This window comes from Homo sapiens, chromosome 13, assembly GCF_000001405.40.
Source record: "Homo sapiens chromosome 13, GRCh38.p14 Primary Assembly".
NCBI lineage: Eukaryota > Metazoa > Chordata > Mammalia > Primates > Hominidae > Homo > Homo sapiens.
This window is the reverse complement of record NC_000013.11, coordinates 99,316,712-99,339,735: the sequence shown is the minus strand read 5'-3', so window position 1 is coordinate 99,339,735 and position 23,024 is coordinate 99,316,712. Positions and strand designations below refer to the sequence as shown.

The window sequence follows — 23,024 nt, the reverse complement described above, 5'->3', positions numbered from 1 at the left end:
AGGTCATTTATAATGTATGGTTACAGAAGTCTCAAGGCTTCCTATGATTTTCTAGTTAAAAATGACTATGGCTATTCCTTTGTAAAAAAAAAAAAATCTTGATGTGAATTTGATTCTTAGGATTAGAAGATCAGATTAGAACATATTTGACAACTTTCTAATATGAGAAAAGTATACTTCAATGTTTAAAAATAAAATTTAAATTGATGAATTGGCAAGAATTCTTTGAGACTGTGCTACACACCAGGCACTGTTCTGGGAACTTAGAATACAGCAAAGAACAAGATAAGCAAGGCCCCACTCTCACAGGGCTTATAGCAGTCAATGTGGAGAACAGGCAGTAATCAAGTCAACACATAAAACTATTTCTGGCAAGTTCTGGGAAGGAAATAAAGTGACATGGGGCACGAACCTACTCTGGGGGCAGCGGGGGACATCAGGAGAGCCCTCAGAGAAAGTGATACTTGAGCGAAGATCTTAAGGATGATGCGGTGCCCGTGACTTGATGAACTGGGGAAATAACATTTTGGGCAGAGAAAGCAGCAGATGCTGCGCAGCCCGAGCTTGGGAGTGTCTATTAGATATCTTGGGGGGCTACTGAGTGGGCAGGTGGCTATGTAATTCTAGAACTCAAGGAAAAGGTCGAGATAAGGATTTCAGAGTCACTGGATATGATATGACATTTAGGGTAACAGGACTAGAGGAGATAAAATGGGGGGGAGGAGGAGACACAGCAGAAGAGAGAACAGGACTAAGGACTGAATCCAGGAGTGCACAAATATTCTATGGACAGACAGAGTAGGAAACGCCAGTAAGGAAATCTGAGACAGGGCTGCCAGTGAAGAGAAGGGAAATAGAGTTTAGTTATCACTGAAGCTAAGAAGTGTTTTAAAATAGGGATGGTCAGCTATATCTAATGCAGCTGATAAGTAAGACAGAACTAGCCACTGGATGTTGCAAATGGAGGTGTTTGATAAACAAGGTGTTTACAAGAACAGTTTTGGTACCAAAGACAGACTGTAGTAGGCTGAAGAGTGAATGGTGGACAACTTCTGGTTTCAAATAATTTCTGTGCCCCTTTACTCAAAAATAGTACAAGACAAAGAAAATGAAAACAGAAACAAACTCCAAGGTCCATGAAACCAGAAACTAATCCTGAACCATGCTAACAAAATAGAAAGCTTATCAAGTGATTATAAACCACTCTGCATATAAGCAGCATATAAGTCCAAATGCCTGCAGAGAGTCCTGTGGGACTCAGAAAAGCACAGGGACTAGAGCAAGCTTGTTCAACCTGAGGCCTGTGGGCCACATGTGGCCCAGGACAGCTTTCAATGTGGTCCAACACAAATTCATAAACTTTCTTAAAACATTACAAGGTTGGGCGCAGTGGCTCACACCTGTCATCCCTGCACTTTGGGAGGCCAAGGCGGGCGGATCACAAGAGGTCAGGAGTTTGAGACCAGCCTGGCCAACATGGTAAAAACCCGTCTCTACTAAAAATACAAAAATTAGCCGGGCGTGGTGGCACACACCTGTGGTCCCAGCTACTCAGGAGGCTGAAGCACAAGAATCGCTTGAACCTGGGTGGTGGAGGTTACAGTAAGTCGAGATTGTGCCGCTGCACTCCAGCCTGGGCGACACAGTGAGACTCTGTCTCAAAAAAAAAAAAAAAAAAAAAAAAAAAAGAAAAAAAGAAAAAAAGTTAGGAGATTTTTTTGCAATTTTTTTAAAGCTCATCAGCTATCTTCAGTGTTAGTGTATATTATGTGTGGCCCAAGACAATTCTTCTTCCAATGTGTCACAGAAGAGTTCAAAAGACTAGATACCCCTGGACTAGAGGGTCTAGGCCCTGTGGAAGGAGGAGAGAAGTAGAGGGTTACTTAAGTCTGGGTAAGAGGCACCCCAGTTCCTCCTCATGCTCCATGTACCCTTTCTCCCCTCCACAGAGAGAAGGGAAAAGCTGTGTAGGGCATGAACCAAGGAGGGTCCATGTGGGTTGGGAAGGCCAAGGCCTCTGCACAGGCAGATTATGTGCATCTCATGCGGCTGTCAGCATAGGGGTTCCAGAAGAAGACAACAGAGGGAATATGGGGGAAAGGATATTATATTTAAAGAGATAAACAGCTGAGAGTTTTCTAGAATAAAGAAAGAATATAAATCCTTAGGATGAAAGGGCAAGAGTCCCTAAAAGAATGCTAAAACGAAATTTACATCTAGATCCACTGTGGTGAAACAAAAGAAAGAAATCCTTAAAAGCAACCAGGGATAAAATACAGACTGTTTAGAAAGAAAAAATAAACTGTTAGCAAATAACAGCAAGAAAAACTGTAAGATAATTGGGAATAAATAAATAATATATATATAAGGCCTTGACAGAAAAAAAAGAAAAAGATAATAAGGGATATTTTTTCAAAACCAACCCTAGTGATAATAAAGATACCAGTTCCATGAATAGGAAGATGCAAAACTTTTAAGATACCAATTTTCATCAAATTAATACATAAATTAAATATCATTCAAAATAAAATCTTAACAGGGTGTTTTGTTGGAATGTAAATGCCAAGCCTCAAATTCATGCGGAATATTTAAGGTTTGCATTTTAAAAACACCATGTTGGGAGAAAGAAGCCAGACCCAAAGCCTGAAAACACGATTCCACTTCTGTGAATGAATGAACCTAAACCACACACTAAGCAGTAAAACGAGACAGGAAAGCGCAAAGATGATGACTATGTGTGCTAGGAGGGGTCACAGAAGGGAGGGAGAAAGAAGGGGAAGGGGTCACAGGAGGGAGGTGGGAAGGAGGAAGAGAGGTGGGAAGGAAGGGGGGCACCATGGGCTGCGGGGCTGGCCAGGCATGGTCTGTACCTGCATGGTGGATTATGGGTATATTTGCTTTATAGTGATTTGCAAGGCTTTGTGACAGTTAGTTTGTGTTGTATATCACAATTAAGAGTTAAAAGACAAAGAAATAAAAAACCCAGAAAAGGCAAGGCAATTTTAAAGAAACGTAAGTCCTATCAGATTTCAAGACATACTATAAAGTTTGGCTACCTAAAACAGTGTGGTCTTTATCTAGGGTTACTTAAATAGACCAAGAGAACAAGAGCCTAGAAATAGGATCCTCAGTGTAAGGGCACCTGGTATTCAGCAGACATGGGTAAATTGGGAGGGAAGGGGCACATGGGCTATACACAAGGAAGAGACAGAACAGGGCCCCTTCCTGACACCAAACGTAAACTTGCAATGGAATAAGAACTCAAATAGAATTCATGAAATTGTAAATCTTTCTGCACAAAATACAGAAGGAATACCTTTTTGGCACTGGGGTGGCAAAATATTTTAAATTAAGAAACATAAGGTACAAACTAGAAAAGAAAACACACACTGGTCTACTTTACAATTTAAAAGCTGTAGTATGCCAAAAGCTACCATAAATGAAATGAAAACACAAGAGGCCTGAAGAAAGTATTCAGAATTCATACAGCCAACCAAGGCAGCATTCAGAACATATCAAGAAACCCTAGGAATGTGTAAGAAAGAGCCCAGTTTTAAAAGCATATGAAAAGGTAATTTCAGAAGAGAAAACTCAAATGGCTGACAAACTCATGAAAAGATGTTTATCCTCACTTGTTTTTAGGACTCTGAAATCTAAAATGAGCAATCTTAAATACAGCAACTGGCAAAAATGTAAAGCTCCTCTAACATCCAGTTTTATCTCTTTTTTTTTTTTTTCCATTTTGTGGAGAATGAGGTGTTGCCATGTTGCCAGGCAGGTCTTGAACTCCTGGGCTCAAGCGATCCTCCTGCCTCTGCCTCCCTAAGTGCTGGGATTCCAGGTGTGAGGTTTTGGTAAGGATGGAGGGAACTGAGAACTCTCACACAGTCCCGAGGGAAGGTGAAGCTATGGCGCCTCTGGGGAGCAATGTGGCAACACCAAGTAGAGCTTTGAGGCTCATTCCACTGCAGCCCTGCATGAGAGAGAGAGGAAGCAGAAACAAATCATCCCCAAGAGGGGAACAGCTGCAGAGTGGGTTATTCATACAACACAGTACTATACAGCCATCCAGATGAACTCCATGTGCGTGTACTGATGTGTTTAAAGTGGAATGAAAAATACACATAGAAGGTATCACATGTTGCGCTCATCTTCCTGCAAAATTTCAGACAACAAAATAATAGTCTATGCCGTTTGTGCACACATCTGTCTGCGGTAACTACAGAATCACAGAAAGCAGTCTTTGCTGTAGAGGGGTGATGGGGGACAGGGTAGGGGGTAGGCAGAGGCATTCTCTGTAACAAATATATATTTTTAATGAAGAGAGACATATGAAGTCAATATGGAAAAAAAAAAACAGTAATGAATTGGAGGCAAGGAAGTAGAAATGCCTTTTCTGAAGATCTGATATAAAACAGAAAATAGGGTGTATATCAGCATTACGCTGATTCAGCAGAAGATAGCAAAATGTTATAAACATAACAAAATATTAAAAATGTAGTACAAATTAGAGCTGTGAGATTTGAATGAAGTACAAAATTAAACATTTTTATTTTTCGGTCTCAAAGTATTCAACTGTGATTGTTGATTTGTTCATTGCTCCCATTAGCTATTTTAACTTCATATATCTAGAAGCTGTTCCTGTTTGTGGACGCTGTTATTAGGCACACAAACACAACTGACCCTTTCGTCATAACAAAGCATTCTGCTGTGTTTTTAGTAATACTCATAGAGAAGTCTACTTTGTCTAATCTTAAAACAGCCATTTCAGCTTTCTTATGGTTACTGTCTCCATAATATATCTTCATCCTTTTAATTTCAGGCTTTTTTTGTGTCTTTGTATTTAAAGTGTGTCTTGTAGATACCATATAGCAATTTTTTTTCTTTTAAATTAGTCTGACAATCTCTACCTTTTGATTGGAGTGTTTAGCTATTATTCATACTTAATGTATTTGCTTGAATAGCTGGATTTTGCAATTTGGTTTCTGTCTGTCTCATCTGTTTCTTACTCTTTACTCCCCCTTTCCTACGTTCTTTTGTGCTATCAAATATTATTTAGTATTTTGGTTTTTTTCAGCTATATATCACTGTATTTTCCCCCTCATATTTGCCCTAGAGGTTATAATATGCATTCAAAATTGAGCATAATATATTTGGAGTTAATACTGAATTACTTCATGTAAAACAGGAGAAGCTTGCAAGACCCTACAGTAAGTCCTCACTTAACTCACTGATAGGTTCTTGGAAACTCCAACTTTAACTGAAACAAAGTATAATTTTGTCTCCTCAATGCTGTAATGAAAAGACGTTGAATGAAATGACATTATTTGAATGATGTTTTGCTTAAAGTTGGAATTTCCAAGAACCTACTGACAAGGTTAAGACTTACTACAGTTCCATGTAATGTCTTCCCATCCACTGCGTTACTTCTGTCATATTTTACACCTATATACCTTAAAAGCTCAACAATACAATGTTGGTTTTTCTGTGCTCACGCCTGTAATCCCAGCATGTTAGGAGGCTGAAGCAGGAGGATCACTAGAGGCCAGGAGTTCAAGACCAGCCTGGGCAACAGAGCAAGACCCCCATCTCTAAAAAAAAAATAAGAATAAATAAAAAGAATTAGCTGGGCATGGTGGTGCATGCCTGTAGTCCCAGATACTTGGAAGGCTGATGTGGGAGGGTCACTTGACCCAAGAATTCGAGGTTGTAGTGAGCTATGATTGCACCAATGCATCCAGCCTGGGTGACGGAGCAAGATCTTGTTGCTAATTTTTTTTAAATCAGGTTTTTAAATAAATTAAGAAAAATATAATGAAAATGCATAGTTTTTGCCAGTATTTAAGGAGTTCACAATTTGGTAGAAGCTCTTAATTTATGGGGGGGAGGCCACAGACTCCCTTAAGAAACTGAGGAAGGTTAAAGATCTTCACTCTCCTGTCCATGCCTTCCCTGCCCCCACAATGACAATCAGACGTGAGTATACACTCACAAAACTATGTATTCAATTTCAGCAGGACCATTCTGTGAAGAATATGGATACCCCACCCAGTAATAAACAAAAATAGGACTGCAAATTCTGGCAGGGAAGTAGGGCTTTTGTGTTCATCTGCTTACATTTCTATCCCATCTATCTAAATGTAAACTCTGAATGGGGAAGATTTGGGTTGCTTTTGATCACTACTTGGCCTCTGCACTTAGAACAGTGTCTGGCACATAGTACTGTAAGTATTTCCTGGGTGAATGGTGAATTAACAAATGCTCCACAAAAATAAATACATTATCTTAGATCCTTTTAAAGGAAATTGGAAAGTTATGCATTCTTTTTGGTCCCAAGTTTATACTTTCCCATATGATAAAAGATAAAGAGTTCACTTGTCCATGTCACTGGCACGCCAGCATGACCTCAAGTTGTCAAATAAAGTGCTACTGCACAATGTTTTAGATTTTCACAAAGGATTAAAATATAAAGTGCTTAAAACCCTAGTCTATGGAAAGATGGGACAAAAATAATTACATTAGATTTCACTTAATTACTGCCAAAAGCTTTTAGAGAGCATCAGTTATTATAATACTATGTTACATTCACACATTATTTTTAATTTTAATTTTCATTATCTCTCTCTTTCTTCCCCCCCCAGAGACGGGGTTTCACCATGTTGCTCAGGCTGGTCTCAAACTCCTGGCTTCAAGTGATCTTCCCATCTTGGCCTCCCCAAGTGCTGGGGTTACAGGTGTGAGCCACCATGCCTGACCTAATTTTCATGATCTCATAAACCTTTTTTACACTAGGTCTTCTGAATGAGCGAGTTTTCTTGAAATCCATAGACCCTCTGAAAAGCAGGCTTTAGAAAAAGACCATATGTTGGATTTGTGTGTCAGGGGGCTGGGGGAACTCTACCAAGGAGGTCTTGCAGGCCCTCAGACCTGGGTAAGCCAAAGAGCAAACGGAGGGGCCACTGAAAAAGAAGGCAGCAGTGGCGCAGTCTCCGGCAGGCAAGGGGTCAGTGCAGGACGATCAGATAAAGCAAAAAGGAACAAAGAGCATATGCCCGGGAAGACAAGCTCGAGTTGGAGTTTGAGCACTTGGGCAACAGGAAGCAGGAACCCTGGCTAGGAAAGGGGACACATGGTCACGCAACCAGAGAACCCCTGGCCCACGTCCAGCTGAGAGTCTAGGCCAAAGACCCACGCTGGCTCCAGGTCAGAGGGAGCAGCCCCCCATATGCCAACAGCAGAAGCTGTGACCCTGTAAGTCTGAGAATGTAAGGCAAGAGGAAATGATTTTCTCTTAGTCCACTAATAAACATGGACGTCAATTACACGGTTCTTCAGATTTTCCAGATGCTTCATCCTTTTAGGAAGGGAATCATGAAATAATGCTCATCAGGCAAATAATTTAATTTGCTGGGTAGAAAACATGCAAAACACTCTTGATTATAGAGAGTAAACTTCAACTGTCCTCTGGTCCTGTTTAGTACTAGCCTGAAACCACAACAGGCAAAGGTTAGAAACTATGACTTTGCAATGACACACAGGTGTCGATTGCTTTCTTTGGCCAACTGTGGCTGAACAAAAACCCACAAGGCAAGCTGTGCCAACCACCGGTCCCACATTCAAGAAACCGACCATCTACTGGGACAACAGGACAAACCTAGGGGCTGCTTTCCCAGGGGCATGATATTGCCTCTGCATGACAAGGAACAGCCAAAGGAATAAATGTCCCCTTGCAACTGAGCCCCAGCACATAGACTTCATGTGCCCTCAAGGCCTGTGGTAACCAGACCCACCGAGACCTCATTTATTCATTCCACAAATATTTACTCAATGCTAATACGTGCCAGCCTATGTTCTAAACACTGAAACATAGTAAGGAGCAAAACAGAAAAATCCCTGCCCTGATGCATCTTACATTTTCCTATTCCTTCTTCTCCAATGAAAATGTTAGAGAAAGCATAAGGGAACTTTGTACATTCCCTAATTTATTACCCCAAGAATGTGAATGCAAATTAGGGATTCCCAAAGTTATTTCTGCCATTTGTCATACATTTTGAAAAGATTATTCTTTTCATGACAGACAGAACCATGTGCCTTTGGCAGTTACTCTGAGACTTGCTATTCTTTAAGTGCAAAAGTGATTCAGATTGAACTTTCTATAGCTTTTCTATCTCATATGAGGGAATAGAAATGATACTAAATTAAAAGATTTTGAGGTACCCAATTAAAATGCTGGATATCCTTCTGATTCTTGGAAAACCAAATTGGAATAGAGACAGAAGTAATAACACTAATCACAGATTATTCGTTTCTCACATACTGTCTTAGAAACCTGCTCTAGGCTTTTCCTTTTGGGAAATCATGCATCAGGAGGATTAGGTCAACTATGCTAAGTAGAAAACTTCAAACAACAGTGGCTTAAATACAAGAGAAGTTTATTTCACCTTCATATTTAAAAAGCTCCAAACATCTTAACTGTAGTCAAAGCAGCCAGAAGAAAAAAAATAAGAAAGGACAAAAGGCGACTTTAAGGAGCCTTCTCAGAAGTCACACAAATATGTGTGTTTACAGCTCAATGGCCAGGACGCCAGGACTTAGACCAGTGGTCAGACTGAGAGGCGAAGGATAAGAGATACGTGATCTCAGCTGGAGGCATTGCTGGCTCAAATAAAACGAACCTTCCCTTATGAAGGAAAAAATATACTGGAAGGCAACTAGAGTCTCTAGCACATGGAGAAAACCATCATCAGGTTCTTATATGTAAACAAACACCTTCTAATATCCATTTTAACAAGCGGACCATCCTCCTTTAAAAGTTACATGCACTTTCTTAAATGGATTCAAAAAATGAAAAATTAATAAAAATATGGGCTTATTTCAGTTGAAACTCATTTCTTACCTTTGATGAAAAATAACAAACTAAAAGTGAATGTGAAGCTCTAAAAGATTTGTGGATTTATAGATACAGCCTCAATGGTGAAAAACTCAACGTTTTCCATCTAAGACCAGGAAGAAGCAAGGATATCCATTCACCACTTTTATTTAATATTCTATTAGAGGTCCTAGCTAGTATAATAAAGAAAAATAAAAGGTACAAATTGGGAAAGAAGAAGCATATAAACACATAAAACTTATTTCTGGATGACACAGACCACCTATGTTGAAAACTCTAAGGAATCCACAGAAAAGCTACCAGAAATAATAAACACATTTAGAAAAGTTGCAGGACACAAGAACGAAATACAGAAATCAACTGTATTTCTTTTTTTTTTTTTTTTTTGAGATGACGTCTCACTCTGTCACCCAGGCTGGAGTGCAGTGGCATGATCTCAGCTCACTACAACCTCGGCGTCCCAGGTTCAAGCGATTCTCCTGCCTCAGCCTCCTGAATAGCTGGGATTACAGGCATCCGCCACCAAGCCTGGCTAATTTTTGTATTTTTAGTAGAGATGGGGTTTCACCATGTTGGTCAGGCTGGTCTCGAACTCCTGACCTCATGATCAGCCCACCTTGGCCTCCCAAAGTGCTGGGATTACAGCTGTGAGCCACCACACCCAGCCAATCAGCTGTATTTCTACACACTAGTGACAAACAATTGGGAAAACATTTATAAAACCAATTCCACTTATAATAGCATCAACATACCAGAATTACTTAGAAATACATCTAATGAAAGATGTGCAAGACCTGTACATTGAAAATTTAAAAATTGCAAAGGGGAATTAAAGAAGAGCTAAATAAACGTAGAGACTTATCACGTTCGTGCATTGGAGAACTCAATACTGTTAAGATTGTTGTAGTAGCTGTTGATTACTGAGCAACAAATTACCTAAGACTCAGTGGCTTGAAACAATAAGCATCTATTATCCAATTTCTGTGGGGGCAGGAATGTGGGAGTAACTTAGCTGAGTGGTTATGGCTCAAGGTCTCTCATGAGGCTGTAGTCAGTCAAGGTGTCAGCCTATCTGCACTCATCTCAAGACCTGACTGGCACTGGAGGATAACCTTCCAAGGTGGCTCAAAAACACACCTAGCAAGTTAGTGCTGACTGTTGGCAGGAGGCCACGATTGTTGGCCATGTGGACCTCTCCACAGGTCTGCTTAAGAGTCCTCATGGCATGGTAGATGGGCTCCCCAAGGGCAAGAGATCCAGGAGAGAGTAAAGACACAGGACTAGCTGTGTCTTTTATGATCTGCTCTTGGGAGTCACATTCCATCATTTTTGCCACATTCTATTCATTATAAGTATCACCAAGTACAGCTCAAATGCTAGCAGAGGAAAAATAAGCTCCACCTCTTGATGTGTAAAAGAATCTGTGGAAACATTTAAAAACCATCACCATGGCAATCCTTCCCAAGTTGATCTAAAGTTTCAACGCAATTACAAGCAAAATCTTAACTCTTTTCCCCTTTTTTTGAAGAAATTACAGGCTGATTGTAGAGTGTATATTAAAAGTCAGTGTCCTAAAATAAGCAAACCAGTTTTAAAAAAGAAAAACAAGGTGGGAGGACTTATATTGCCTGATTGCAAGACTTACCATAAAGCTGTAGTCATCAGTGCAGTGTGGTATTGGCGTAAGGACAGACATATAGATAACTGGGAAAGAAAAGAGTCAAGAAATAAACCTATACTGGTCAACTGAGTTTTGGTGCCAAGGTCATGCAATGAGAAAAGGGTCTTTTCAATAACTGGTAATGGAACAAATGAGTATCTGTGTGGAAAAGAATAAATCTTACCCTTTACCTCAAAAGAATTATACTCAAACTGGATCACAGACCTAAATGTAATAGCAGAAACTATTAAATTCTTGAAGAACATATAGGAGAAAATCTTTGTGACATTGGATTAGCAAAGATTTCTTAAATAGAACATCAAAAGCACAAACTATTTTAAAAACCAGTTAACAATGAATTAATCAAGATTTTAAAATTTTGCTTTTTGGTAACAGACAAGCCACAAATTAGAATACAATTTTCATAAAACATGTCCAACAAAGAGCTTATATCTAGAATATATAAAGAATTATTTTAAGTCAGTTAGAAGATAAATAGCCCAATGAACAAAATGGATAAAAGATTTGAACAGATATTTCACAAAAGATATGAAAATGACCACTAAGCACATGAAAAAAAATGCTCAACATCACTAATCATTAGAGAAATGCAAATTAAAACCACAAGATACCACTACACACCCAATAGAGCGGCTAAAGCTAAAACAACTGACAATACCAAGTGTTGACAAGGGTGTAGAGAATTTGGAAGTTTCAAACATCGATGGTGGAAATGCAAAATGGTAGAGCCACTTTGTAAAATAACATGGTAGTATTTCCTAATGTCAAATATACACTTACCATATGACCCAGCAATTCCGTTCCTAAAGAAGGAAAACATATGTCCACACACAAATGTGTACACAGATGTTCACAGCAGCATTATTCATAATAATCCAAACCTGGAAGCAACTCAAATGTCCACCAATTGGTGAATGGATAAACAAAGTATGGTGCATCCATACTATAGATTAATACTTAATCTATTAATTGTTACTTAATACAATAATAAATGAAAAATTAATTTTAAAAATTGGTGAAATTTTCATGTTCAAGTGAAAGAAGTAAAACACAAAATACTTCATATTATACAATACTAAGTATATGAAATTCCAGCAAAGGCAAAACTATAATTACATGAAGATCAGTGGTTACCTGCGGCTGGCAGCTGGATGTGGGGAAAGAGCATGGGGCATGAAGCCACCATTCATGGTCAGGAGACTGCTTTCCATATTGATTATGGTGGTGAGTACATGACTGTATATAACTACCAAAGTTCAACGAACTATACACTTAAAATTGGTGAGTTCTATTGTATGTAAATAACATCTTAATAAACAAAAAAAGGGAAAAAGAATCTTTTAATAAAAAAGAATGTGAAGATCTAGAAAGATCTCAAATAGATACATAAATCTTTTAAATTTTATAAGAGGTAGGATTTTAGCAGAACAAAAACAAGCTTTTAACAACAAAAAACTTCTGCTGCTTTGAAAATGTTCTCAGCTATCAATATAAGCTAACATGGAAGACCTTTGATAACATCCTATGCTGTTGTTTATAAATAATAAATAAATTCAAAACGACATGTTAATTTTACCATAGTCCCTTCCCAGAGGCTATCATCAAGACAGAAGGAAAATATCAACACAGTCAGTCCCCGAAGACAAACACTGGACACTTAAACACACACACACACACACAGAGAGAGAGAGAAAAACCAAAAACCAAAACTACATATAGTTTAAAGAGATAATCAAAACTGATGAAAAAATTTTAATTTCCTGATAAAAAGACAATGTGAAGACCCATGGGAAAATGTTCTGTCCTGCAACGGACATGATAATCTACCAGTAATCTCTACAATGTAAAAGTACGGGTGTTTCTTGGCAACCTCTTCCTTATCTCTACTTCTTTTTCCTTTATTCAGTAACACTACTATACCAGCCTAATATACTTTAAATTATCCTTTAAGTTTTCTCTGAATGTTTCTTTACTTCAGATTGAGTATGACAATGCAAGAAATACAAGACAGTGAGTTTGCTGAAGGTGAGGTTTAAGCTGAGTTTTTAACCAAGCATGGAGAGAGGACCAGTTAAATATCTTGATGATTTTAGAAGAGAAAGCATAGCTATAGGCCACATTCTTCATATTACGAAGAAAATAGAGTCTGCTAATGAGAAAAAATTTTCCTTGGCTATTGGTCAGCACACAGAAGGCTGCAAAAAGTTGTCGATTGTGTTTTTCAGGGCCTCTGGGGACTTTGAAAACCTCTTCATACCCAAGATTGCCCTCCAGAATCATGTCTCCATTGCTGATGAATGGGGCCTCATCCTAGTGGTGTGGCTAAGGGAAACTTTAAGAATAACTGTGTCTGTGCATCTCGTGGCTGGAAGAGACATGGATGAGAGCCTTGAGATGTGCAGTGTAAGGTGCTGGACTCACTGGGCCTGGAGCAGAACACCTGGCCTTTGTCCTGGTTCTACCACCCATCATTCATGCAACCTGAAACTCAGCCTCCCTATCTTTAAAATAGGCAGTCCAGGTATTCTACCACTATAGAGAACACATCAAGAACCTAGTAAGGCAGTACACATTGTAAGCATCCTGACAATCATGTAGTATAATGTTTTATAGTACAGAAATTATTTTTTGATAATATTAAGTTTTTAAACTAAAAAATTATTTTTAGAATGTGTATCAAGTAGACATTGTGCTAGGCACTGAAGATTATGAAGAATAACATAGAATTCCTATAAACTAAAAGGACTCTCCTACAATTCAATACCAAAAAACTAATAACCTAGTTTTAAAAATGGGCTAAGGACCTAAACAGACATTTCTCCAAAGAAGACATACAAATGGCCAATAGGTACATGAAAAAATGCTCAATGTCACTAATCATCAGGGAAATGCAAATCAAAACCACAATGTGGTATCACCTCACACCTGCTGGGATGGCTATTATAAAAAAACAAAAAACACCAAAAGACAAGTGTTGGTTAGGATGTGGGGAAAACTGGAACCCCTGTGCACAGTTGGCAGAAATGCAAATGATGCAACTATGGAAAACAGTATGGAGGTTCCTCAAAAAATTAAAAATAGAACTAATATGATCCAGCAATCCCACTATTGGGTATACATCCAAAAGAAATGAATCAGGATCTCAAAGAGGTCTCGGCACTCTCATGTCATCACCATGTTATTTGCAATAGCCAACATGGGGAAACAACCTAAGTGCCCATCAACAGACAAAGGGATGAAGAAAATGTGGTCCATGCATACAATGCAATACTATTCAGCCCTTCAAAAAGAAGGGCATTTTGTAATATGCAACAACATGGATGAAACATGAGGACCTATATGCTAAGTGAAACAAGCCAGTCACGGAAAGACAAATACTGCATGATTCCACTTATATGAGGTATATAAGATAGTCAATTTCACAGAATCAGAGAGTAAAATGGTGGTTGCTAGGGGCTGGGGGCAGAGGGAAAAGGAGAGTTAAAAATCAACAGGCATAAAGTTTCAGTTAAGCAAGAGCGATAAGCTCCAGAGATTCGCTGCACAACCCCATACCTATAGTCAACAATTATAAACTGTCACTTAAAAATTTAAGAGGAGAGCTCTCATAAATAAAGTCAGGACTGACTCAGGAAAAGGGTTGGGCCAGGACTTAAATGAGTAAGACTTCCTAGAAGAAGGGATATGTGAGTGAAATAGGGGATATAGTTGGAAGAAACTGCATGTGGTTATGCAAAGCTATCTTTTAAGAGCATAGACATAGGCCGGGCACTGTGGCTCATGTCTGTAATCCCAGCAATTTGGGAGGCCGAGGCGGGTGGATCACGAGGTCAGGAGATCAAGACCATCCTGCCTAACACGGTGAAACCCCGTCTCTACAAAAAACACAAAAAAATTAGCTGGGCATGGTGACAGGCGCCTGTAGTCCCAGCTACTTGGGAGGCTGAGGCAGGAGAATGGTGTGAACCCGGGAGGTGGAGCTTGCGGTGAACCAAGATCGCGCCACAGCACTCCAGCCTGGGTGACAGTGAGAGACTCCGTATCAAAAAAAAAAAAAAAAAAAAAAGAGCATAGACACTAAAGTTATGCTACCTACATTTGAATCCTGTCTCCACTACTTTTCAGCTACCTGGTGTTCTTGGCAAATTACAGTCATGTGTTGCTTAATGATAAGGACACATTCTGAGAAATGTGTTATGTGATCTGGTCATCGTGTGAACATTACAGAGTGTACTTACACAAACCTAGATGGGATATATATTTTCATTTATATATATTTTTTCATACAGAAAATCAAGTGTTCTGGCACCATGACTGAATATCAGTCATTTCCCCTACTTGATCTGCAGTGCCAACACTGAGTGCCATACACCAGGTTTCTACCTATGCTCCATTAGAATCCACAGGGCCACCACTGAATACGCACTCTGTTGTTGATCAAAACGTTGTTACGCAGTGCATGACTGTAGTTAATTTCCCTGTGCCTCAGTTTCTTCATCTATAATAGGGAGAATATTCCGTAGTTCCTCAGGTTTTTATGAGGGCTAATTAAAATAATGTTTGTAAAGTGCTTAGAAAAGAGTACTATTAGTCAGCTTTTTCTAAGTTATACTGTGGTAACAAATTATCAAATTTCAGTAGCTTATAACAAAGATTTCTTTCCTGTTCATGCTACATGTTGGTACAGCCCTGCTCCATTTGACTTCTTCATTCTGGAGTCTGAGGAGCTGCCCCTCTCCGGGCCCTGCTTTTCTCATGGCAAAGGGGACAGAGCAATGGTGGAACCAGGCAGTGGCTCTTCAAGCTTCTGCTTGGATGAAGCATTTGTCACTGCTGTTCATATTTTAGTGGCTAGTGTAAGTCAAACAACAAAACCTGATGTCAACAGGGCATGCAGAGGCCCTATAGGGAGGGCTTCAGTAGAGAGGGGCAGAACATATTTTGACCAAATATATTTGAACAAACAAAAATACTAGAGTAAAAAATCTACCACAAGTGTCTGGTACATACTAAGTGCTGTGTGTTTGTTAAAGAAAAATACTTGTTTGCACAATCATACAGAATCCTGAAAGTGGATGTTTGGGAATGGATTGTGTGTAGTTGGAGTGTATGGTTCACAGAAGTGACAGGGGTAGGTGAGGAGGTCGCATTTTGAAAGGAGGCTAGATTTTTGCCTACAGGTAGAACATAAGTTGCAATAATAAAATTTTATAGCTATTTTTATAAATTTTATAAGGCAATTCTATCTGCCAGCTTTATTAAGACAATGGCATCATTTCATTTATTCTGCACTGAGCATTTAAAAATCACACGTCAACTGGTCGCTACCTCCCTGTGTTAACAATGGCCTAAGACACCATTTGTCATCCTGGGCCTGAGTTGCAATTGCCACAAGGAAGAATATATTAATAGAAGGCTTCTTCCAGTTAGTCCTGGCTCCCTGTGGTCAGGAGTGGGAAAGGTAGCATAGAGAGGGAGGGAGGAAAAAGGAGAAAAGGGAGTGTATATGGATGAGTCAACGTGAATGTGAGTGTGTGTGGGGTGTACATTGGACAAGCACTGACATCACACTTGCTATTTTAATTATAAGGCACCCTCCAAATTTGGATGCTTCTTAAGAACCTGCTACTTGTCTTCAACTTCTACATGTGGTCCTTTCACAAGTCCCATCACCCTCATGGCTTTGGTCAGCCTTGAAATTTTTGTTTGTTTGTTTGTTTGTTTTTTGTAGAAACAGGGTTTTGCCATGTTGGCCAGGCTGGTGTTGAACTCTTGGGCTCAAGCGATCCACCTGCCTCAGTCTCCCAAAGTGCTGGGATTCCAGGCATGAGCCACTGTATCTGGTTAGCCTTGATTTTTCTTTGCAGTTCCTGTCCTCATTTTCAATGAACTACTAGAAAATAATCCAAATCTCTAAAGTAAGTTTAACTGGGAGGCTTGTGCATCAGAGGAGTTATCTGAGCTGCTACCTATACCACTCTTTGGTCAATGGAGAAGCAATCTAAGGGAAAAAAGGTTAAATAGGAGAAAAGGAAGCACGGAGAGAAGAGAGAGCTGGGCACAAGCAAAGGCGGCGCAGAGGAACTCACACCTACCATCCCTCGCCCAGAAGCAGGCCAGGGCCTCAAAACATACTCTAAAGATGCTTATGCTTCCACAGCAGGTTATGCTGTTTCCATTTGTTCACAGTTACTTTAAGACAGTGGTTTGGGTTTTTTTGTTTGTCTTTAAAAGTACTACAGAGGGAAGAGAGAAAGGCAAATCACAGCCCGCAAATGCGCTGTCTTGACTCCCTCCAGATGGCTCATTTTCCCTACCCCTGTCCTATGATCTACGAACCCTGATAAGGCTTCTGTAATCTTGCACCATCGTAAAGTGTTTCTTCTTGAAGTGCTTTAAAGATCCCCACTCCTTACAGAAAACAATCCAAACTCAGACCACATTTGAAGTCCCAAATCTTACTTTTGGGTGTAACAGATTGTTTTTTTTCCACACTAAGGCTGCTGGATCAGAGATAATCAAAGTCTGATATACTGTACATGACAAGTAACGAATGCAGGAAATGGGTACAGTGAAGGGCTGCGTTGAAGGGAGAAGTCTGAGGAATATAGGCCTGTTAATTCACTCTCAAACAGCTTAAAAGAGGGTCAAGTAAAGATAAATGTGTGAACTGTAAAAAGAAAATTGGCAAAAGAAGGCTCTTTCTATTTTAATCATGCCAGAATCAGATCAGTCCTGAGACCTCGGCTTTTGAGAATTAGGGTGCATCCCTGTGGTAATGACTCAGTACTATGATTCATAAAACTGTAGAAAATGAAGAAGTTCTGAGATGTAGATGGCTCAAAAGCTCTCTGCAGAACCACAAGAAGAATTTAAATGAAGTTCAGTAAGTAAGCAATGCTTTAAGGAAAAGTATTAATGTGTAAGAAAATTAGTGGAATTATGAATATGTAAAGACTGACTTCAATTTTTGAAGGTCTCTCACCAGACATCTAGAAGAACAGTTGATACGGTCACTGAAATGTTGAAGTATTTGTTTAAACTGATATATGTCACTTGGCTGTAATAGCCAAGCTTTCCAATTACAATTTTGCAACATTTCATGAAAAGTCCTATTTTAAATACTAAATGTTTGCATTAAAAATCAGAACTGTCAAATGAGGAAAAAGGTAACACAAAAACATTTATCAATGATACATGTGAATAATCTTACAGTCATCTTTAAGTACAAGAGAATCCCCCTCACCTTTCCTGGGCAGCAGCTGGAGTCTCTACTGGATAACAAAATAGGACTGAGGTCTGACAGCCATCCTGGGCAAACTAACTTACTATTGCTCCTGTAAGCTAAAAACTGTCTTCCCTCAACTCAGAAAAATGATTTAGTTATTTTCTGTGATATCACTGAAGATAAAAAGTGGTCAACTTACCTAGTAAAATACTGTACTGACATAATTTATCAACCTTCTATTTTAATCAGTGGAATATTTTAAAGTTATATATTCAAAGACATCTATAATTATGCAAGAATAAGGGACACCGAGGAGAGATTAAAAACTAGCCTAGGCCAGACACGGTGGCTCACGCCTATAATCCCAGCACTTTGAGGCAGATGGATCCCCTGACGTCAGGAGTTCGAGACCAGCCTGGCCAACATGGTGAAACCTCGTCTCTACTAAAAATACAAAAAAAGTAGCCGGGCTTGGTGGCGTGCACCTGCAATTCCAGCTACTTGGGAGGCTGAGGCACGAGAATCACTTGAACCCGGGAGGCAGTGGTTGCAGTGAGCCAAGATCATGCCACTACACTCCAGCCTGAGTGACACAGCGAGCCTGTCTCCAAAACAAAAAAGCTAGCCTAAACAAAATAAATCAACCAGTACCTAGCTAAATAAAATAAGCTCAATCCAAAGTTGGCAGCTTTCCAGAAAAGCATGAGTAAAGTTTTTGGTTTCTATGACAGCAAATAACAAATTACTCATGTTTCATACAAATATCTTTGTTTAAAAAATACTCTTTTTCTTAAAAACCACATTAATTGCCAGAATGAAATAAAATCATTGCTTAACACACATGGTTAAGTGAATTACTGGTTTCAATACTAAAATGTGAAATCTCATCAACAGGTTTTGTAACATTCCCCAAAACACTGAATATCATCTATAATTATAATTATCTGTGCATTTCTTTTGCATAGTAAGAATTTTATTTTGTTAGTATTTTATTTAGCATAAATATCTCCCCAAAAAGGGAAGTCACTTGATCTATAAAGGAAGAGGGGAAGTCATGTTGAGCAAGAGACATCTGGAATAGGCAGACTGTGGCTTTGTGAATCTCAGGCTTGGATCCTATAGTCAGTGGTGTGTAAATCAAACACTCACAAATAATACTGATATTGTCTTTTACAATCTTCCTTATCTAAAGTATGCCACATCACAGTAAATATTTCATAATAAAAATGAGAATTTTCTAGACAAAGAAAGAAAATGTTCCTTAGGTTCAAAACAAGCACCAACATTTATGGTATAGGAACATAGGAAAACTGGCCATGATTCATGAATATTAATTATTTTAAATAAACAGTCATCTAATTATGGTAAAATAGTAATAAAGAACAAGGTTAATATGAAGATTTATCAGATTTTTTGTCATAGTAGAAGGCCGGTAACTTTGGCTGAATCAATGACTGTAAAAGGCTCAGAAATGTTTATTATTAGTAGGGTTCTTTAAAATGCTACATTATCTTTGAATTATATTCCAAACACACTGTAATTCTATTCACCCTTCTGAAACAAGGGATTTTTTTTGGTCAAGAATTTTATTTTAAACGTCTGATTCCTTTTAAAAAGTTAAAACAGGTACCCCACTACCTGTTAAACATGTGTACCGGAAAAGACTATAATCATAACATATAATTTTAGATTTTAAAAAGACTATAAAGAGATGAAAAATGCAACCTCCAATTTTAGTGCACTGAATGTCACACAATGCAACTTTCTGAGGAGACAGCAGGCACTTAAAGCTAGGAGTCTAAAAAAAGAATAAAGAAAGAAAATGGAATGTGTTTTAAAAAACTGAGTCACATAAGAGTTACTAAGGAAGGGGACAAATATGGAGAGTAAAAGAATTAATAGTAACTAACACAATGAAATCGTATACAATAAGGTACTTCAATATTTGAATGCTTTTGGAAAATATTTAAAACAGAACTCAAAACCATTACTGCTAAGTGAAACAAATATGCCATGGAACAAACAGTACATCCTCAGGCATCTCTCATGATCAAAGCAATGAGCTCCTTCTTTGCTGTTCTCAGGCTGGTTAAGTCTTCCTCAGTCACGCAACAGTTCTAACTGGGTGAGCCTAGACTTGGGGGAGTCTGGCACCTGTGTCCCAGAGAATCAGTCTAACCCCAGGATGGCCCTAAGCCACCACAAGTCTCAAGAATACCAGACGGATAGCTTAGGTGTTTTGAAGACTTCACAATAGGGTTTAGCTCTGTGGTCCTGAAGCCAAATCAGGTATCTGGGTAGATGTGAAAATTTTTAGGGAGGAGAAAACAAAGTGACTTGGAGCCCCAGAATATTGGCTGCAAGCATATCAGCTGTGGGGAACAAAGGCGTGAATTTTAAGCAAAGAATGAACACAGAAAAGGAATAATACAGAGAGCTTAAAGGAAGAAGAGGGGTAAGCAGGCGTACAGGATGACACACTAGCCCCAAATACCAGTCATTCACCCAAGAAACAAGGATAGTGATAATTTATTTGAAATGTGTACAGTGATTGCAGTGAAATGTGTATTATTATGAATCCATTCTGTCATTTAAGTCTTTTCTAAGAAAGAAATAAAATCTATGCTCTATAACCGCTAGTTAAAATTTATTTTTATAAATCTGGAGGTTTAAATTTAAGTCATGGATGAAGAATAAAACTCCACTTCATGCTCTAATTTTTTTTAATACCTCACAGAGAATTTAGGACAAACGCTTATTATTAAAATACAATAGCATAGACAAGATGAAAAAATTCCAGCAAACATACTGAGGTTGCTTGGTTCATTCCCTTCTTCCATGATGAGACTTTGGTCAGGTCCAACCCACCTGACTTTCCAGTTGGCATTATTTTTTTCCCTCGTGTGACAATGTCTTTTTACAAAATGAGCAGACTATCTCTCCTTATTTTTAGTAAGTCCAACTTCTTCATTTTCAGGCTTTTTTTTTTTCTATGATTTAAAAACAACACTGACAAGCCCAGCTAAAACTTTCATCAAAATTACCTTGAAAGCACAAACTGGCCTCCTTTGTCTCAATTTTCCCTGTGACTGGCCTTTTTTTTTTTTTTTTTTTTGAGATGGAGTCTCACTCTGTCGCCCAGGCTGGAGAGCAATGGCGCCACCTCGGCTCACTGCAAGCTCCACCTCTCGGGTTCCACGCCATTCTCCTGCCTCAGCCTCCTGAGTAGCTGGGACTACAGGCGCCTGCCACCACGCCCAGCAAATTTTTCTGTATTTTTAGCAGAGATGGGGTTTCATCATGTCAGCCAGGATGGTCTCGATCTCCTGACCTCATGATCTGCCCGCCTCAGCCTCCCAGAGTGCTGGGATTACAGGCGTGAGTCACTGCGCCTGGCCGTGACTGGCCCTTTTTAATCACCACAGAAGTAACATTGAGCCAGACCTGCCATGGGTTAAAAGAATGTTGAGAGCCGGGTGCAGCGGCTCATGCCTGTAATCCCAGCACTTTGGGAGGCTGAGGCGGGCAGAACACCTGAGGTCAGGAGTTTGAGACCAGCCTGACCAACATGGAGAAACCCCATCTCTACTAAAAATACAAAATTATCCAGGCGTGGTGGCACACACCTGTAATCCCAGCTACTCTGGAGGCTAAGGCAGGAGAATCACTCGAATCCGGGAGGCAGAGGTTGTGGTGAGCTGAGATCGAGCCATTGCACTCCAGCCTGGGCAACAAGAGTGAAATTCTGTCTCAAAAAAAAAGAATGGTGAGACAGTTGAATATGACGCACAATCTAAATAGGACAATTTTCCTAATGTTTTTACAGGAGAGAGAGAGAATTGGGTGTAAAAGGGTAGTCACACTTACAAGTCCACTTATGGCTACAATCCAGATGTAGGAACCAGAGGTGAAAAGCTATAAAAGAAAAAAAAAAGGCAACTAAAAATAAAATTCAACTGCCAGTCACAGCACACTTATTTTTACATAACTATAGTCATGACCATTTATATAAAGTATTAATTATATATGCCATAATACAGAGAAGCAAATGGAAAATTAGTAAATATCAACTGTTACTTAAAAGAAAATTATATATTAATTTTTTTTATTCAGACATCAGACTTTGTATAGCCTAAAACAAGTTGAACCTGGCCCACACCCCATGCAAAGAAAAATAAATGAAACCCAAGTATGATGTTATTTACAAATTTCAACTGACTTAAAGTAAAATACTACATATAAAGAAATTATTAGAATTAACAACATACAAAACAGGTAATCACCATCCCATGCTTGGCAATGATGTGATATTTATGTAAATAACTTTCTCATTTTAATTTCTTAACATTGTCACCCTAAATTTAGATGGGAAGAACCCTGCCAGCCTACTTAGGTCTATGTCCAATGGTAACTTTCTCAAGTGTTGATATTCTCATTCTAGTTCACCCAAGGAAGAGCAAACTAAATAACAGAACAAAGTTAATTAATGGCAAAAGTAATTAGAATTAGATCTCATGAAATTCTTCCCTTTGTTTTCCAAATCGTTTATATCTTAGAGTTGTGCTCAGGGTAATTAAAAAAAAATCATAAGGACTCTGAAAGTGTTCCTGCAACAAAGAAATGATTTGTGGGTTATTGTTGGTTAATTTTTAGAACTTCAGATTGGGGGTTTACTTCTGATTGTGGAAGAAGAGGCAGGATACTCAGGCAGGACAGCCCAGGTTCATCGCTGGCATTGTGCTAGATGAAAACCTCAAAGTTCTGCACACTTACCAAGGACACACAGAAAGAAGACAGACACAAAAGGTAAGAGTTGACACACTCAGATAAAGAGGCTGGCAAGCTTTGCTCTAGTGATAGGCTCAGTTAGAAATGAGCACAGGCTGCAACTTTAAATCTGAACCTTTGATGTAGCACGGACGTTTGTTCAGTGGAAATGACTCTGATAATAATAAGGATGGAACCATGTAGACAAATATTTTGCTGTAATTTTCTTCTAAAAATAGAAAGAATAACAGACTAGCTAACACTTTCTATGTGTCAGGCATTGCTCTCAAGGCACTTCAGTAAAACCGAGTGGTTAAGCAATTTGCCACAGGTCAACAGCTAGCAGGTGGTGGGCTGGAGTGTATCCAGGACTGGCTCTACAGCCATGCTCTCCACTCTTCCAGGTCTCATACGCAAGTAAAAAGAGCGTATCATTTTGTCATTGAAAAAGTAATTTC

At 39.0% G+C, this 23,024-nt stretch overlaps 1 protein-coding gene across 7 annotated transcripts in view; it reads right to left on the bottom strand.

Annotated features, from left to right (window-relative positions):
- UBAC2 (UBA domain containing 2) overlaps positions 1–23,024 on the bottom strand; it is a 185,651-nt gene that overhangs the window by 46,769 nt on the left and 115,858 nt on the right. For 6 of the 7 annotated variants that reach the window (NR_026644.2, NM_177967.4, XM_011521083.3 and 3 more), the window contains one exon: positions 21,667–21,714. Coding sequence is in view for 6 of the 7 variants with exons in the window: in NM_177967.4 (NP_808882.1) it covers positions 21,667–21,714 (48 nt within the window). In the remaining variant the exon portion in view is untranslated. Of the gene's footprint in view, positions 1–10,535; positions 18,432–21,666; positions 21,715–23,024 lie in introns of those variants that run through there. The other variant, XM_017020553.2, reaches the window with a different exon arrangement.